The following is a 19,914-nucleotide window of genomic DNA, read 5'->3' on the forward strand; positions in this document are numbered from 1 at the left end:
ACCCACATTTGGGACTTGCTGTCTAGCTGCCTACTCTGAGTACACAGAGGGCACTGAGGCTCAGAAGGTTCAGAAAGTTGCCACTCCCTTATTTTTCAAATGAGAAAAGACTGACGACGCAGTCATACCCAATACATACTTACTGCATCGGAAATTACATTTCTCCAGGTGCCTACTGTGCCCTGTCTCTATAGGACTGATTATAAATGGAACAGCCTCCCAGAATGTTTCTCACAGTTTAGGTTACAAGTTCTGTTCATTATAAACACTTCAGAATGTTTTCTGTAGAATCATTTCCACTCAACACTTGTCAGATAGTGGCATGAAGTGGTAGAAACTCTTCAGTGGAGCCAAATTGTCCTAAGTAGGTCATCATTAACCCTCTCTTTTGAAGAGAATGGCCATATCAGTCATGAATTAAAGTCACAGACAGATTGAAAGGGGAGTTTTGGGGATTTTTACATTGCACTGCCATTGCTTCTTATTATACTAATAAGAAGTTTGCTGTGTGTGTTATCACAGTAAGTTATAACTGCTTTTTAATCCGTTACATGCAATTTTCATGCTTCTATCTCTAGAACAATGATTTCAAGTGGGGGCAATATGACCCCTCCAACACTTGGCAGTATCTGGAGACATTTTTGGTTGTCATAACTGGGGATGGGGTGCTATTAGCATCTAGTAGGCAGAAGCCAGGGATGCGGCTAACCATGCTACCTTGCACCTTACAACCTCCAATGACAAAGAATTGTTTGGCCCCAAATGTCAATAGGGCCAAAGCTAAAAAAACCCTGATATAGAATCAGGATTCTTTATCTAGGGGTCTTATTCTAGAGTCTAGAAGTCAATGGATGTGCCCCTCCGAAAACTTGTGCAAAGCCTTGTGTAAATGTGCATTTTCTGGTAGAGAAGATCTGTGATTTTAATCTGATTCTCAAATTCCTCAAAGGTGACAAATCACAAAACTTCTGTCCTTGCCCTGGTCCATACCCAGAATGTCTTCCCCAGTGATTTTTGGAACCATATCCCTTACCTTCAATGAAAACCTAGTTAGCATTACTGTGTAAATGTGAACAGATAAAAAGCGTGACCATCATTCTTTTTTTTTAAATTATACTTTAAGTTCTGGGATACATATACAGAATGTGCAGGTTTGTTACATAGGTATACACGTGCCATGGTGGTTTGCTGCACCCATCAACCCATCATCTACATTAGGTATTTTGGTATTTCTCCTAATGCTATCCCTCCCCTAGCCTCCTACCCCCCAAGAGGCCCCAGTGTGTGATGTTCCCTGCCCTGTGTCCATGTGTTCTCATTTTTCAACTTCCACTTATGAGTGAGAACATGCGGTGTTTGATTTTCTGTTCCTGTGTTAGTTTGCTGAGAATGATGGCTTCCAGCTTCATCCATGTCCCTGCAAAAGACATGAATTCATCCCTTTTTTTTTTTTTGAGATGGAATCTCGCTCTGTTGCCCAGGCTGGAGTGCAGTGGGGTGATCTCAGCTCACTGCAACCTCTGCCTCCCGGGTTCAAGCGATTCTTCTGCCTCAGCCTCCCAAGTAGCTGGGACTACAGGTGCACACCACCACGCCCAGCTAATTTTTGTATTTTTAGTAGAGATGGGCTTTCACCATATTGGCCAGGCTGCTCTCAAACTCCTGAGCTCGTGATCCACCCACCTTTGCCTCCCAAAGTGCTGGGATTACAGGCGTGAGCCACAGCGCCCAGCCAAACTCATCCTTTTTTATGGCTGCATAGTATTCCATGGTATATATGTGCCACATTTTTTTATTCAGTATCATTGATGGGCATTTGGGTTGGTTCCAACTCTTTGCTATTGTGAACATGGCTGCAATAAACACATGTGTACCTCTGTCTTTTTTTTTATTTTTTTTGGAAGTTTTTATTATTATTATTATTATACTTTAAGTTTTAGGGTACATGTGCACAATGTGCAGGTTAGTTACGTATGTATACATGTGCCATGCTGGTGTGCTGCACCCACTAACTCGTCATCTAGCATTAGGTATATCTCCCAATGCTATCCCTCCCCCCTCCCCCGACCCCACAACAGTCCCCAGAGTGTGATGTTCCCCTTCCTGTGTCCATGTGTTCTCATTGTTCAATTCCCACCTATGAGTGAGAATCTGCGGTGTTTGGTTTTTTGTTCTTGCGATAGTTTACTGAGAATGATGATTTCCAATTTCATCCATGTCCCTACAAAGGACATGAACACCTCTGTCTTTATAGTAGAATGATTTATAATCATTTGGGTGTATACCTAGTAATGGGATTGCTGGGTCAAATGGTATTTCTGGTTCTAGATTGTTGGGGATGTTATAAGATAGACAGTGTTTTTGTGGAAATATTTAACCTCTTGTGGTCTTCCACAAAAAGACCATCTGTCTTATAACAACCCCTTTCACTCTCAACTGTGTCCTGGTCCTGGTTTGAATGATAAGTTGCAAAGTAACGATTCAGATGTATTATGTCCACTTCAAGTCTCCATGATTTCAGGAATTCCTCACTGCTGAGGCATAAACTCTGTGTTTCAAAAATAAATTCTTTCATGAAAATATACAAATATACAGAACCCCTTCGTTGCTTACTACCACCTCAGGCTATGCAATCCTTTTGGGGTATAGAAGGAGAAAAGACTGTATGACAAGTGCCACAATTATGTTAAATATTTTACTCAGGATATCTTTATGTACTAAAAACAGATAACATTTAGAAATCTCATTATGGATACAAAACACTTGCCAAATTAGGGTGTGTTCTCATCACAATCTGTGGCCTATATAGCTAAAAAAGTCCCATAAAATATTCAAAATATATGTAAAGTCTGGTCCCAAGAGAGTCACGTTTTATATATTTTACTTTGTTGTTATGAGGCTGGTGTTATTTTGTGTGTGTGTGTGTGTGTGTGTGTGTGTGTGTGTGTGTGTGATATATTTATCTAGCACTTGTTTCTGGGGAAGTCACTTAACATTTCTCCAAATCCAGGAAAATAATTCTGTAAAATGTGGTAACTGTAATCAGTTTACTCTAAAGTGCCTTCCAATCTAGAATTCCATGCTTGTTCATTAATTCATCCATTCACTCATTCACTCAGTGATCTCTTCAAACTACTAGAGCAACTGCTCTCACGTAGGCTCTCTGCATGGCACTGTAGGTACAGAAATGAGAATTACCCTTTTAGACCCCAAGAATTTCAGGGCCCAGTAGGCAAAGTTGATATCCAGGTTGCCATGGGTGTATGGAGCTGAATCCCTAGCATAGCTGGAGGAAAAAGAGAAGATAGGTGATGCAGATATGGAGAGGAAGATATGTTCATTTACTATTTGAATATAATTCAGTAACGAATTCCTCTGGAAATGTGATAGATCCTCCTCTAGATATAAACTCTGTTCTGGCAGGAAATCACCTCTTCCTTTTGGATCTCTGGTATTAAGAGTGGTAGAGTGGGGTGACTAATGACAGAGGCTTTGCTATTAGCTCTGGGTTTGAATCTCAGCTTTAGGGCTTACTATAACGTTTTAGGTAAGAACGATCACTACCTTGAGGTTCTAAGTTTCCTCATCTGTGGACTGGGAATAGTAATATAATTATTGGTAATTATTTTAAAGGGTTATTTAAATTGATTGAAGAAAATGATGTGTGAAAATCACCTGGCACCTAGTAAGTACTCCTTAAAAGTTAGTTTAGGGTGTTGGTGGATGTGGTTGTCATAATTGAAAGAGCATAGGCAGTACCGTCTGACACACTTGAGCTGAAACCCAAGCCCTGCCACTGGCTAGGGGTATGATAGCAGGCAAATGACTTCATCAGCCCAGCCTCAGCTTCCTTATCAGTGTAATGAGAATAATAATACACACCACGGAGAGTTCTTGCAATGATTTAAGAAGATGGTGTATGTAAAGTGATTGGCACATAATAACAGCTACTTTGGAAGTCATTTCTCTTTCCCTAAGTTCTTTCCATTTGTTTTACGTTGTTCCTCCACTGAAAACTTCTATACGGCCTCTCATTTGGCCACTCATTTGTTCTTTGAAGAAAATGGTTTTATATGCCAGGCACGGTGGCTCATGCCTGTAATCCCAGCACTTCAGGAGGCAGATCACTTGAGGTCAGGAGTTCGAGACCAGCCTGGCCAACACAGTGAAACCCAATCTCTACTAAAAATACAAAAATTAGCCAGACATGGTGGCAGGCACCTGTAATCCCAGTTACTCTGGAGGCTGAGGCATGAGAATCATTTGAACCTGGGATGTAGAGGCTGCAGTGAGCCAAGATCGCGCCACTGCACTCCAGACTGGGTGACAGAGGAGGACTCTGTCTCAATTTTTTTTTAAGTGTTTTTTGTATGTGTGTGTGTGCTAAAGTGAATCCATATCTCAAAGGCAGTCTTCAGGGAGGCAAGGACCAATATTGTATCTGATTTATCTCATCACCGTCCTTCTGCTTATGGTGGCCCCATTTTAGTGACTGGAGCTCTCTAACCAGGCATAGATGCTCTCTGCACCTGCCTCTTACTGTTTTTTTTTGTGACAGATTCTCCCCTAGGATATGAATATGTGATAAGTTCAAATGATCTCTGCTCCAGGAACATCAGAGTCAAACTGGAAAGGAGGGAGTTTTCAGGGAGAACAATTGCCTCTGGAGAGGATGGGTGCTGGAGTGTAGGAAATTGGTGCTAAATCGCCTAGTCTCATTTCATTCTCATCTCACATGTGTATGTCAGGATCTGTGTCCCCAGTGTGACACCTCCCAGAGATCAACAGTTACTGCTGGGAGAGCCACTGTCTTTTCCCTTGTCTTCTGCCTCTTTGAACCTCTTTCCTGGCATACATTCCCTGCAACTAGTGGTACTGCTGTTATGATAAATGTGCTATCTATTGTTCTCAAATTTTGGGTAGTAGTCAAGGGATAATGCAGGTTGATGGGCTTTATTTAGTTTGGTGGTGACATATTTATTTTATTCAATTCAGTTTTTTTTGTGTAATTTAGTTCTATAGTTAAAGGGACTTTTTAATGTTTGTTAGATGGTTGCATTCTTAAGTCCTTTGTTCTCAGACATTTGATTTCCTATGGTCACTTTTGGAATGAAAATAATATCCTAAAAACATAAGCAACAAAATCATGGTCCAAACCAAATTCAAGCCCCTTCTATGCTTTTGAATCCAGGCATTTTGCATGCAATGACTAGGCGAAGGTACGGCTCTGGTGGCACGGTCAAGCTTCTGCACCTGCAATTCTTGAATCTAAGCCACAATTGCTGATGTTCCACTGGAAAGGACACACGCTAGAAAGGAGTGTTAGAAAAAAAAAGTTACTTTTCATTTTTTTGTTTTCTCTCTACCTCAGTGAGTGTACTTGGATGAATTGAAAATAGGTGGGCAATGCTGAACATATATTGTAGTCCACTGAGTTCCAGAAAGCTGAACAGAACAACAAGCGAGCATGACTCCACAGGTTATCACATCGAAGTAGATCCAATCGCATTTTATCGTACTAGATTCTGAAAAATAAAGTGGGACTTATTAATGTGTAACTACATAGTCATTACATATTTGTGCTCTGTAACATACATAATTAGAGTTATACTGACTGTTTAATTTATGGTTGGTAGGCACAGTTAAGGCTGTTCAGATAACCATGTACTGCAATTATGTAGTAATTGCTATTCTTTGAGTAAAAGTAGTAACCAATAATGTGAAAACTGGCAAGTAATTGCCTTATAATTATTTTGGGAAAGGAATTGTTCCAAGTAAAACAACAGAAGATAAACAGATGAATCTTTCATTTGATAGGTGATGCTAGCTAGTTATCAGAAGCTCTGCAGTCATATTGAGACAGGTTCCATGCTATTTTTTTCTGTTCTTTTTTTACTTTAAGCAATCTGGGTAGTAGGTTGATTTCATAGAACCTAAATGAATCCTACTTATGGCTGTTTTAGTAATTATCATTAGAGATTGCTTTCAAAATGGGGTGCAAGTTAATACAGAGCAGAGCAAATCCTCATTTTTTTTTTTTTGCTTTTATATCTCTCTTATTTCTTTGATGACAAGTTACCGTTGCTACAAGCAGAGAAGTGAGCTTATCTATCCTGGAAGCCTTTCAATTTGTTATTTTTAATAATTTCCAGGACAAATCTTTTTATACTTAAACTTTCTTGTTGTGAGATATTCTTTCTAGAAGAGGGCTTAAAAGATTTCCCTTGGAGATATTCTGATTTGCCATAGCTAATATTTTATTTTGTACTGGAGTGGGTTTGGTAGAAAAAAATAATTCATTTATACAGTCAAGTCCTCTAAACGGTCTTACGTTATACAATTGTGAAACTTATTTAAATAATATTTATTTATTTATTCAATCACTCTTCTAATTAGATCAATAGGGAACTTTGTGTTCTCAAGTTAGTAAAAGAGAGAGAGAAAGAGAGAGAGACGGTTGTAAACTAATTAAGCACATGTTGCTTGAACATTTTTTCTTACTTGCTTCCTATTCCCATTTGAAATTCAGGTAACCTAATTACATGCATCTTCAGGAACAAAACCAATAGGGATCAATACTCTTTATTTGTTGCTTGAGGTTACTTTAGCCTGTTGTTTTCTTGAGAAATCCTTGTGTTTCAGGTAATGGCAAAGGCAGTGGGATGTGAATAGCAATTAGACAGAATGCTGAATTTTCTCATGATTCAAATGAACGTGCCAAGTTGCAATCAATGGACAACTCAGTAAAGGATTAGAGTTTGTGGAGCAGGTGAAGGTATATTAGAGAACTTATTTATTTATTATTTGTTATAAAGACCTTAGCCTATCTGTGTGTACCAAGTTGAACAATTTTCAGATTTACTATTAAGTAGAAAAGACTGGTGAAGAAATGTGTGACTATTATTCTGCCATTGGTGTAAAAATTGTGAGCTATTTATTTATGCTTGTTTATATAAACATTAGTGCTAGAAAGATACTCAAGAAACTGGTAGCAAAGTTTGCCCTTGGGAGGAGATCATGGGGTTGAGATGGGAGGAGATACACTTTTTAATGTTTTATTTATTTACTTTTTACATTTGCATATTTTGCCTCCTTGGAATGTACACTCATACATATGTACATATTTACCTAGATTAGAAGATTACCTGATACCAAGAAATGCTCAGTAAAAATGTGTTATTATGGTTGCTGTTAGTCATCAAAAAGCTGGCCTATGACAAAAACTATGATAACACCTGCAATCTCAAGTACACTGTCAAAGATATGCCTGCTAGAAATTACTGATGCTCTGAAAACTCCTCTTCAGAGTCTTGTTGATCTGTGGATCCCAAAGAGGGATGTAAGGATATTAAATAGCCAACCACTGATGTTTGCACCATACATTACATATGCAAGCCTTTTCTCCCCTGACATCCTTTGCTATCATTTTTTGCTGTAAAGACAGCATAAAGTTGTGATCAGTTCCCATCAATTCCAATAACTTTTCTAAGATAGTGAATTGGGAGAATAAGGAGTTTGGAATTCCAAAACCTGGAGTAATGACCCAGCTCAGCCATTTGCTAACTCTATGTTTGCAGGCAATCTATGAAGCTTCAAGATGCTGCTATGCCTGTGACCCTCTTCTACGGAGCCCTGAGGTGGTCTTTTAAGCATAATCCCTGGGGTCTGCACTATGTGTCCAGAAAAAAACAATACTGCTATCCTAGTCACAAATGACCAAGTAGGCATGCAAACCAAGATCAGCCATATATGAGCTGGCTGTGAAGGAAACCAATCACCTCAAAGGCTACTCAACAAAAGTCGGTGGCATGATAGGGCCACTCAGATGGATGATGCCGATCAGATCCAATCAGACTCTCACTTGTAGGAAGTGGAATTGCTCACAAAATGTGCAGAGAGAGTGGATCCTTTTAGCCCTGGCCATATTGAGCAGAAATCTGAGAAAACCACTTTGGCAATGTCTAGCTGGCTCATGGCCTCTGCCTCCCTAAGAGGCAGGGCTATTAGAGGAGGGGTCAGCTCATGACCTCTGCCTCCCTAAGAGGAGGGCTATTAGCCCAGAATCAGGAGCCCAATCACAGTTCCTTACCCACATTCACACACACTCTTGGACCCAGCAATCCTGTCTATCCTGTGTGGCCTTGCCTCACTGGTCATAGCTGATGAGACCAGTAATAGATAGCCGACTTAAATTCCCTACCTTGAATTTAGAATTAGCCACTTGAACTTCAGACAGGTAAATTATGGATTTGGGGGAAGGGTGGGTGTAGAGCTGTGCAAACAAGCAGGCTGGCCAAGAGCAAAGAATGAAGCAGGTTTGGAAAGAGTGAAGCAGGAGTGGTGGCATGGATTTCGGAGGCTTTCTCATTCTTGGTTCCAGTTTCTAGATATGGGTTATGTGAGATTCCTTTGTACCCTTAACATTGTACGTTAAAATAGTTTTCCTTTTTCTTTTTAACTTATATTTTATTAAGGGAATTTCCATGATTTACAACCAAGAGAACCATGAATAAGAGATTTATCTTTCTATGCCTCTCAGTTTCAGAAATACTGAGACCTGGAGTAAGATTGTGTGTCCCCAAGGAGGTCACAACTTATAGCTCCACTATTTCTTGCCAAATATCCCACTCAGGAGAGTAATCTGTATCTTTCCCCCCATACTCTAGAATTGTTTTATTTTTAATTCTTTCATTTATTTTTTTTTTCTTTTTCAACTTTTATTTCAGAATCAGGGGATTCATGTGCAGGTTTGTTACAAAGATACATTGTGGGATGCTGAAGTTTGGGGTTTTTCAGCCCTTGCTTCCCTCCTTCTCTCCCTCATCTAGTAGCCCCAGTGTTTATTGTTTCCAACTTTTTGTCCATGAGTACCTGATGTTTAGTTCCCAATTATAATTGAGAACATGCAGTATTCAGTTTTCTGTTCTTGCCTTAAATTCTGAAATATTAAACTCTTCTGATACGTTCTAACATCTGTAGAATGGGAATAATAATGCTAACTCCCCCACTCAGGAGCTATTATAAAGATTTAAAAAAGGGATCGTTATTCTGTTTTTGAACTCCTGTGTGTTCTCAGCAGTCAGCGTAAGTAAGTTGCACTCCCTTGTAGAGGAGCCCATGAACAATAATTAAGCGAGAGTAACTCCTGCATATGATAAGCATAATTTTGGTCCCTTTGACCTTTGTACCTGGTGTTACACTCATAAATATGTTACATTACATGACAGAAGGGAATTTGCAGGTGAAATTAAAATTATTAGTCAGTTGACCTTAAAACAGGGAGATAATTCTGGATTATCTAGATAGGCCCAGCATAATTACATAAGCCCTTAAAAGCAGGAGAGAAAGTCAGAGAGGTGGGAGTCAGAAAAATATGAAGGGTGAGAAGGACTCAGCGCAACATTGCTGGTTTCAGGATGGAGAGAGACATGGGAAAAGGAATGTGGGTGGTATTTAGGAGCAGATTGTGGCCCTTGATTGACAGCCAGCAAGGAAACAGGAAACTCAGACCAGTAGCCACAAGAAGTAGAATTCTGCTAATTATCTAAATGAACTTGGAATCAAGTTGTCTCCCAAAACCTTTAGATAAAAAAGCCCAGCCCAGACAACACCTTCATTTTGACCTTCTGAGACTCAGAGTAGAGAACCCAGCTAAGCTACACTGGACCTGGAGTTCTGACCCATGCAAACTAGGAGCTAATAACTGGGTGTTGTTTTAAGTCAGTGAGTTTCTGGTGATTAGTTACTGCAGGGATAGGAAACTAATACACTGTCCTAGGCATAGTGCCAAGTCCTTTACAGTCATTCCACTGTAATCATCAAGAGGCCTTAGGAAGTACGGAGGTCTGTATCAGTTAGAAAGGAGGAAATCAAGGCTCAGATACGCTAATTCGTTCAAAATAATAGAGTTTAGTAATTGGCAAATCCAGAACTCGAACCCAGATTTATCTGTAAGAGGCTCAAACCAATGTTGTTTACCAAATAAGGTGTCAAATTTTGGCCAACTGAAAATGAGGACTGCCTCATCATCCTGGTGAGTCTCATGAACCATTATGCCAGGTATATAATTCATCTTATCTCCTTTCTGCTTGCTTTGTGTGAGAGAGAAAAGGAGCCAGACAGCAGCTCTGCACCTGCAGAAAGTGGCTGCACTGCCCCATAGGACCGATTTAGCCTCAGTCAGCCCGTCACAGCCTGGCTCCCATTCCCTTGGCAACCTGAGCTCTGTGTCACAGTCAAGGCTCTGAAGCATGAAATGGGGTTTTGTGCTGAAGCCTGAGAGACATGGTGCATGTAGCCTGGTTTGGCTATTCACCCTCTACTGTTTGTTTTTAGAGATGAAATAGCACAGGCATGGAAAAGGTCTCCCAGGTCCTCCGTATGAGATGGCAGCCAGCGGTGGAGGCAGGAATACAAATAAGATGAAGTAGGGCGGCTCTCTGAACCCCAACCTGTAGTCAACACGTAATATGCAGTGGTCATTCTTGTTATTATTACATCCCTATTACTATATGATTATTTAAGGGGCATGGAGACAGCTCCCTGACTCCAGAATGGATTGAGTCACAATTAAGGAATCTTTCCATTCTTTAAGACTAATGTCCTATAAAAATTTGTTTTTTTACCTTCATCATTGATCTCTTGACACCTCTGAAATACACATTGTTATAAGGAAATAGCAAGTAGTTTAAAAGATGTTAGGGATTTTCATTCAATCTAAATCTAATCTCCTTAGTAAGGAGAATTTGTGATTCATGCTTTAATACAGCATTTCCCAGGTGTAAAATGAGTACCATTGAAGGAAGTGTATGTGAGATGATTTTAAGTGATTCATGGGTGAACATATAATTTTAATAGTTATGTATTTTTAATAGGACTTATAAGAAAACATATGTAGTATATTAAGTGCATGATTTCTAATGAGGCTAAAGTTGGTAGGAGGTAAAAATAATGTGTCAATGAAAAAGAAAATAGTAAGTAGATAATGATCTACTTAATGTTAATATTAAAATACTTAACACTAAGTACATAATAGTAACATATGGGGGTACAAAGATAGGGAGAGAATATGAAGGCAGTTTGTGGGTGCTGGGAATCTGGGAATCTCTGCTTTAATGTGACTTCTCAGTTCATCAGATCGTTTCCAAAGAGGACATTAGAATAAGAGTAGAGAGAGGATCCTGATCCCCTGAGGAATAAAATGAGTACCAGTAGCTGTGAATGTCGTGGCAGCTAAGGAGGGGGTAGAAGGGGTAGAAAGTATAAAAAGCTCCTGACAGAGAAACTTGCGATCATTTGGATCAAGCGTGAATGCCTTCAAAGTTTTTCCTAGTTCTACCTAGACTGAAGGATAAATGAGTGTGATTTCTGTTGGCCTAAAAGAGTGACTATGGTTTCCAAAATAGCTTTGCCTGAAAGCAGACTGTGCACTGAGAGATTCCTTTATTTATTTTTTGATGGCAGAATTTACTTTGGCTCCACCTGAAAGAACAATACTCTTTACACAATGTTGGTGCCAGAAGGGACCGGATCAACTTCATCATTTTACAGATGAGAATCTTGGAGCATGGAAAAGTTAAATGATTTTTCCAAGGTCTCACAGATAACTAATGCCAAGGCACATAGCAGTTGTTTATAAAGGAAAGAATCTGCTACTAATCTTTAGGCATATATTTAGGGAAAAGGTGTTGCAAAGATTTTTATTTGTGGGAATATAAATTGCTTTTATGCAGCAATAAGGATCTGGGTGAGCTGGCTAATGACCTGTAACCACTCCCTTGCTTGCTGGAGTCACTTCCATTGTATTTCAGAAACAAATATCTTTTCAAGAAAATACAGAGTTGCTTAAAAGCTATAGGGGATTCCATTACTCCATTAACCATCAATCACAGTCCTAATATTAGGTTGGTGCAAAAGTTATTGCCGTTTTTACCATTAAAGTAATGGCAAAAACCACATTACTTTTGCACCAACCTATAATAAAAATGAGACCAGTCCATTTCCTCATGGATGCCATCATCTCAGAAACAAAGATGGAGATAATTCTGTTGGAGTTAAGTCTCTGGTTCTGGCTACTCCCACACCTCTCCCTTTCGTTTGGTGACATGAACTTCTAAGTTCTCCCTTTAAAGTCTAAGATCTAAGTTTGGGTGGTTTTTGCCACCTGAAATCCAGAATTCCTGCCTCACTCTGCTTCAACAAAGATGGGCGTACTAACCTTATATCTATTCTTCCCTTTATCTAAATTCTTTATATATTGTACTTTCATTTTAGGTTTTTGAGATCTTTCTGGAAATGCACTTTTTTCAAGTATAATTTGGGAAATAATGATTTTAACGGTCTATCATAAAGGAAATTGTCCCTGTTTGGTCATTTCTACCATGATGGAGAGGCAGGTCATTCAAGACTGTTTTGGGATTTGAGAGCCAAACATTAACTTACCGTGAAACTTTGCCCAAATGACAACCTCTCAGAGCTTCTGTGTCTCTCTTGTAAGATGAGTATGTGTTATCTGTTTCTCACACATTCCCACCAGGGAGGACTTCAAAATGTTCCACGTTCCTGGACACCATGCACAACGACAAGAAGCAGCTGATTCTGTATATCACTAAGTAGAAATGATTAATGAATGCCATTGCAATTGAAGACATTATCTTTAGGTTAGGTTCTGTGGCACTGATGTTCATGGAAAAACTCTAAGAAAATTAACACTGTGGTGAGGGCTTGAAATTCATCTTGGATGCTGTCTTTTTAATTTAGATCTAAGAAATACTTGATCAAAAACACTTCTGTTCCTTTCTCCTGTTATGCCATTTATGGGATAGCTGCTGGGTAAGAGCTGCAACTTACTATTAATGAATAATTAACATTCTACTTAATAACCTGTAGCCTTCTCTTGCCTCTTCTCCCTCTAGCTGTCAGTGGGTTCTCAACCTTATGCTCTGTTTAACCACACCCCTTCTCAATTTTTTTACTCTGTTATCAAAGCAAGAAGGAATAAAGAATAGGGGATTGGACATGTCTATCTGCTTGACAGGTTAAGGATTAGGCCAGTCTTACATGTTGGACACAAACAGGAAGGGTCGGGAGGTTGCTCATTCATTCAATTGCTGCAGTGTTGAGATTAAAATCCTGGAGTTAGACTGTTTCAGTTTATATGCAATTTCTAAATAAGTGAATTTGGAAAATTTGTGTAACCCCTCTGTGCTTCTTTTTTTTTTTTTGTCTACAAATGTGAATAACAGTGGTACCCATCTTATAAAAGTTTTGTAAGGATTCAGTTAGAAAATGTATACCCTATGGTGGTTTCAGAGTAAGCTTCCAATAAAAGTTGGCTATTCATTCATTTATTTGTTAATTCATTTAGCAACAACTTATTAATTGCCTATTTATGCCAGTCACTGTACGAAGGAGGATGCAAACATACACGGAAGATAGTGTTTTCTTTAGAGGCTCATCATTTGGATAAGGGTGGGACTGCCAATTCCATAAGCTGGTAATCATAATATAATGGTGGATGTTTTTGTTCACAGCTATACCATGATATGTTACAAGGTTCCATGAGAGTTTAGGGAAGAAGCCTGATTCAGCCAAGTCTTTACAGAGGAGGCAACTCCTCACCTGTGCCAAATCCTGAAGGGTGAAGAGGTACTGACTGGACAAGGTGGACATGCCAGGCAGAGAAACTGTATGTCTAAAGGCTTGGTGATGGGAGGCAAGGTCTGTGTGATTATAACAGTTGAATGTATGAGGCCTGGCCAGGGAGTAGTAAGAAAAACAAGACAGAAATATGGAAATGCCAGATAATGAAATACCATGGCAGGCCCTTTGGAGGGCTGTTAGCCCAGAATCAGGAGCCTGTGAAGAGCTGTAAGAGTAGAAGGGTGACAGCTTTATTTCATTTTTTTGCCACTGAAGAGAGGAGTTGGGCAAATATAGTATAGAGCCAATGAACCCAGTTAGAAGGGTTATAATAATCTGGGGTAGTCTAAACTTACTAATAATGGGAACAGAGGACAAGGGACAGATTTAAGAAAAATTGAAGACAGAATGGGAGAATTTGGTGTGAATGATGGAATGTGGGATGTCAAGAGTTAAAAACAACTCTGAAATCCTGGCTTAGGCAGCTGGGTAGATGGTGGTGCCACCAACCGAAATATTTGACAGACAGGAAGCAGGACTGGCTTTAAAGAGAGGATGGAGGCTCATATGTTAAATTTCATGGTCTCCTGACTCTTGATCTTGCCCTACTTTCTCCCATGAAATAGACTGGTTGTGATTTTGATAGTGATATGATGCAAATGAAGGACCCTGCTATGAGGGGTGGTAAGCAAGACATGGGTGTCAAGTACAGTGATCCTAAGTTAATTAAATTAACTCTCTGTGCAGAAATAAAATCTTTATTTTGTCCAAAAAATTTTCCATCAATTTTCAGCTTGTGAAAATAGTATATGTTCATTATAAAAAGAATAAAAGACTAATCCAGTATTGGAGAAAATGAAGGCCATCCTGTAATCCCACTATCTAGAGATAACTACACTTGTGTTTTTGGTCTATATCCTTCCAAGCCACTTGTGATGCACACCTAGTTCCTGAGTGTCTTCTGCTGCTCATTATTTTTTACGTGATATGTCATCTACAGCTCAGCATATAGGTCTGTTTATAGATCTTTGTCATTCTTTTTAATAGATGAGAGAAATCTTGTATAAATATCATCAGGAAAAATATTCCAGATGTGAAGTTACTGGCATAGGCATTTACAAATGGCAAATCACATCTTCCTGTTTGATTGATATTTAATAATTGGTAAGATGAGGTTAGTTAGCCCATGTGATTACATTGCTAATTGGAAGAATATATGTTTTCATTTCCTATGGCTTCTGTAGCAAATGAGCCACAGGCGTCATGGCTTAAAACAGCACAAATGTATTATCGTACAGTTCTGAAGATCTTTGGCTCCTAGCTGCATCACTGCAGTTTCTGTTTCAGTCACCACATCAAGTTCTCCCTTATATGAACCTCTTGCCTCTATGTACAGACCATTATGATTATATTGACAGCCCATCTGGATAATCCAGGAGAATATCCCATTTCAAGTCCTTACTTTGTTTGCAGTGCCTCTTTTGCTATGTAAGGCAACATATTCACAGGTTTTCTGTGTTAGAATTTGGACGTCTTTGTGGGGGCCATTATTCGGCCTATCACCTGACAAATATTTCAAAAATAAAATGCCAAATTTTCAGTAAAAAAGATTAATATTAGAAGCACCATCTAAACTGGAACCTGTACCATCCTATTGCTTTGAAAGAGATGACAAGGAATGATGTTTGATGCATTCTTCTAGGTACTCTGGGATGAAGTAGAGATGATAACCTCGGTCTCTGAAGACATTTAGATCTAGCATTACTAGGGGAAGGCGACAGTGAGGTTGGATAGCAAGGTTTATATTTGAAATGACAGAAAGATTCACGAGGTGACATAGTATCATCTGCTAAATGTTGTGATGCAGGCTAAATGGGAGGTAGCAGGTGAAAGAATTCAGGTTTCTTTAGAAAGCTAACTTTTTTGATAGAGTGAGATCTCACTCAAACTTTTAGTTTGTCATGATTACTAATAGAGGTAGTGTTTTCCTGTCCCTAGTAGAAAGGAAAGCAGAGCAGTACTGGACAATAACCTCTTTGACTTTTATTTCTTTCAATACTCTGTGGCCAATCTTGTGGCCTTTTGCATACTCCTAAGAAATGAAAATGGCTACTTTTTTTTTTCCTGATAAAGTACTACTAAGCTAACATGCATGATATGCCTGTAGCTCTCATTACCACAACATCTTTTCTCTGCTGTGTTTTTCACTGAAGTTTAGAACTACAGGTTTGTTTCAGTTCCATTTTCTTAGCTTCTACTCAGCAAAAAGTAGCATATGACTTCTCCTTCCCAGGGATTTTCACTTTGGGACTGCTGTTGTCTCCCGGTCCACACTGCCTTTTACATTGTTCCCCAGCAATTATGCATTTATTGCAACATCTCTTAGGTCAGTTGTGTGGCTAACTCTAATGCTAGTTAATTCTTGGCAAAGGGATTGACCACATACAGGTGAACGAGCCATGGTCTGCATAGGGAAGGCCTTCATTCTGAATCTCAAGGTTTATTGCTTTCCAGGACATGGTCTTCTGTGCTCAGCTCTTTGAGAAGAGACATATTATGAAGAGATACTACCATAACCTTTTACTAGCAAACTGGTTGGAATAGCTCATGCTCTCTGGCAAGTGTCTTACCTTCTTGATGTCTACACCAATCTGCTAGTAGTCTCTCCCAAAATATATTTCCTTTTTTCTATTATAATAGAATTTCAGTTGAACAACTGGAGCCTATAATCATACATATCTCTGCAGATAAGTGTGAATATGTGATCTAGTTCTCATCTATGAAATATAAAAACATGAGAAAAAGTCATGTCCCTGAAAGGAAGATGCTTGACCTGGAATTCCTGTGTTTCTCCCCTCCTGTGATCTGGGACATGGGTATGATAATGCCATATTGACCCTGCAGAAGAGGACAGTATTCCAGGTGATGCTGGAAATACCAGATGGGTGGAACCTGAGTACTTGAAAGGTTCATGGAGTAGAACTGCCCCTGCTGTTGTATGAGAGAAAATTCTTTCTCATTTCAGCAACTATATTTATGTGTCTTTTTGTTCCAGAGGGCTTTGCCTTGGTGTTCCCATTTGAAAATGGAGAGGTGAGAAACCAAGATGTGCTTCCTAGGACCAATATTCTAGGACCGTCACATCAAACTCCTTCCCTTCCTTCCCTGCCTCCCTTCCTTCCTTCCTTCCTTTCTTTTTTGTCTCGCTCTGTTGCCCAGGCTGGAGTGCAGTGGTGTGATCTCAGCTCACTGCAACCTCCGCCTCCTGGGTTCAAGTGATTCTCCTGCCTCAGCCTCCTGAGGCAGGAGAATTCCTAGCTTGAATTACAGGCACGAGCCGCTAAATCTGGCTGATTTTTTGTACTTTTAGTAGAGACGGGGTTTCACCATGTTGGCTAGGCTGGTCTTGAACTCCTGAGCTCAAGTGATTGGTCCGCCTCGACCTCCCAAAGTGCAAACTTTTTTTTCTTAATAAAATCTTCCTCATTCAGAGTCATGTCTACCTTTTTTTCCATTTTCTTATTATACATCCTTTTTCCTTCTGTTGTGATATCTGGGTCTCAATACTTTTCTTTTCGTTTATGATTTAGTTTCCTGCTGGTTGATAATTAACTCATTATAGATATATGTCCAAGGGTATTCATTGTATACTTTATTTATGAAAGGTATAGTCTTTATCAAAAAGAAATATACTGAATAATGTGTAATAATATGGACAAAATGTTACAATCTCGGTAGTTGGTCTAATAATTCCTTTGTAGAGAGAGATAGACTTTGCTGAGAAAATGATTTGATAAGACCTCCACTGGAGAGAAATGAGTTTCTGGATTCCAGGTATGAGTCTGGACCCAGGTTTCACACAAAAATTGGAGGCTACTCTGTGTCATAAAATAATTTGATGATGGAGGAGAGAATTTTGGTTCAAATAAGGGAAAGGACGGGGTGAGAAAAATTAAAGACTGATTTACAGAGCAGCCAGAGATTCTTGAGAGAAGCGTCATATGTCATATTTTTCCAAGTGAAATGCAATATATAGTAGGATATGAATCCTTCCTGTGAGTCCTAGATTTCCAGTTAGAAAAAAGGATCCAACAATATTCTTGGACTGTTTGGCTTTCTAATGGAAACTGATTAAAGGGCTTTGTCATGTTTTAAGGATGGTAGGATATTGAAAGTTATAAACTGGGAATCAATCTCATTGGCTGCGATCACTAACACTGTAAAGATGAGAACTGGTGAATGCTCTGGCATGACTGCAGTGCCACACCCCTTGTGCCATTCATAATTGAGCAGTCTTTCTGTTGGCCATTCAAGATTACAGAAGAAACCCAGCGGACTATTCCTTATTGCAGGCTTGGGTGTACATATCTACGCATTCAGACTTGGGATAACACTGGATGAGGAGGTGGTGTTTTAGGGATTGTTTCTCTATTTTATCAAACTCATTTCCTACCCCATTTCCTCCAACAGGTCTGCAATTATAGCTCTCCAATGCTGGCCATCCTTCATGGAGCCCTTCTCTGTTCAAGGAGAAACATCCCCTATTGGACTGTCTCTCTTTTTACTTTCTCTTGGGGTTCCTTGATCATCTTAACTATAACATTTTCAAATACATATTAATAGAGGTCCTGGATACAGCATACATGAGTCAAGTGGCTGGATATCAGGCTATAAGGAATGGAGTGGACAGTGGCAAACTGGTAAATTTATATCCTGGCTCAAGGGCAGCTGAGACTCAGCTCTAGCTAATTGCTGCCAGACATGAAAGTTGGCTAGAGTAGCCAGATCTGATATTCAACAGAACACACAAATTAGGAACTGCATGTGACACTTATTAATTTTATTACATTATACAATTAAAGAAAATGCCTCTCTGGGGCCAGAGTCAGTCCACAGACCAGCAGTTTATGACCCTTTGTTTAACCCTCTCTTCTCCAAACTTACCCAATCTGCTACATACATTTAAAACTCTGGGTTGAAGAGGGGAGAAGAGAAGCCCTCCCTAAATTTAAGCTTCTGAGAAGATTATTTAAAAATCCATCAGCCAAGAATGACATCCTGCTGACAAGTCTTCTGCAGGCTGTTGTGCTAAATGTGTCATTTCAGGTTCACTAAGTTCTCAGACCCAGGAGTGACTAGGGACATGGAAAAGAGAGCAGTGATAATCAAACTCTCCATCCCTCCACATCTGGTAAACCTCCCTTTCCACAATGCCATGATTTTGTGCAATTAGGTAGGTAATTATCTGTTGCATCTCTTTTTCAATCTTATATACTTTGTTTTCCTGTAACTTCCTTCCATTCCAAGTAAGGGAAAGCATGAATGTATGTGTTGTGTGTGTCCTTGTCCTTTCATATACATAGATATCATAACTTGAAATTGGTCAGAAGGGGACGTTAATTATAAGAAAACAAAGGAACTTAAACACTTAGCAGATATTCAGATTTCCATGCATGGTTTGGGATTTTAAGGAGGTTTTCCTGAATTTCAAAGAACACAGCCTTCCCTCCTTCTGTGCTCTCCCTCTTTTTCCCCAGGGAAAGGAAGACTACTAGCCTGGAGGTTGGGGTAGGAAGGTATATTTAGAATTGCAGGAAAAATCTGTAGTGAAAAGTAATAGAAGAACTTACAGCTATGAAATTCCAGACACAGAGATGAAATTAGACTAATATGTATATGAATAAGGTGGTGTATATTGCCAGATAATATACCAAATGTAGTTTCTTGCTTTGTCAGGTCATTGATAAGTAGTTTACAGGATTTGAATCAATACTATTTTTTATTTCTTCTAAAGATGCTAGATCATATTCTCTTACTCTACTGAAATGTCGTATCTAGCTAGTTGAAGAGTGGTTTTCATTTCTATAATAAAATTCTGGAAATAATTACTTAGTTTCAGATGTGTGCAATATGTTAAGGCCAATATGCAGGGCTACTTCTTTTTTGAACAGTTTTGGAATCCAACTTTATTAAGTATGTCATTTCTATGCCTTTGTTATATTCTTGTGTAATTTAAATAAGATGTTTAAAGTGCATTAAAATCATCTCACATGTGTCATCAATGGCAGGTTAACTTCATTAGATTAGCCCTAGTCAAGGCAACAGAATAGACTTGTGTTTTTCAATTATTCAAGTAAACAGCTAATGTACCAGGCATGGATTGAGCTGAACCAACGTGTTATTTGGCCTCTTCTCTCTGCTTCACTGCATATAGACAGATGGTTGTTTTGTATTAAATGACTTTTTACAATGCATTAATCTTATGCTAACATT

General features: G+C 39.1%; 1 protein-coding gene across 4 annotated transcripts in view, besides 1 other annotated feature; it reads left to right on the top strand.

Annotated features, from left to right (window-relative positions):
- The window catches only part of KCTD16 (potassium channel tetramerization domain containing 16), a 314,814-nt gene that overhangs the window by 188,123 nt on the left and 106,777 nt on the right, over positions 1–19,914 (top strand). The window lies entirely within an intron of this gene.
- Positions 10,047–10,116: an enhancer, noted in NCBI's record as "active region_23357". NCBI's record gives its function as "activates an Ori minimal core promoter by ATAC-STARR-seq in GM12878 lymphoblastoid cells {active_cell/tissue: GM12878}" and the evidence as "EXISTENCE:reporter gene assay evidence [ECO:0000049][PMID:35858748]".

Source organism: Homo sapiens, chromosome 5 (assembly GCF_000001405.40).
Source record: "Homo sapiens chromosome 5, GRCh38.p14 Primary Assembly".
Lineage (NCBI taxonomy): Eukaryota > Metazoa > Chordata > Mammalia > Primates > Hominidae > Homo > Homo sapiens.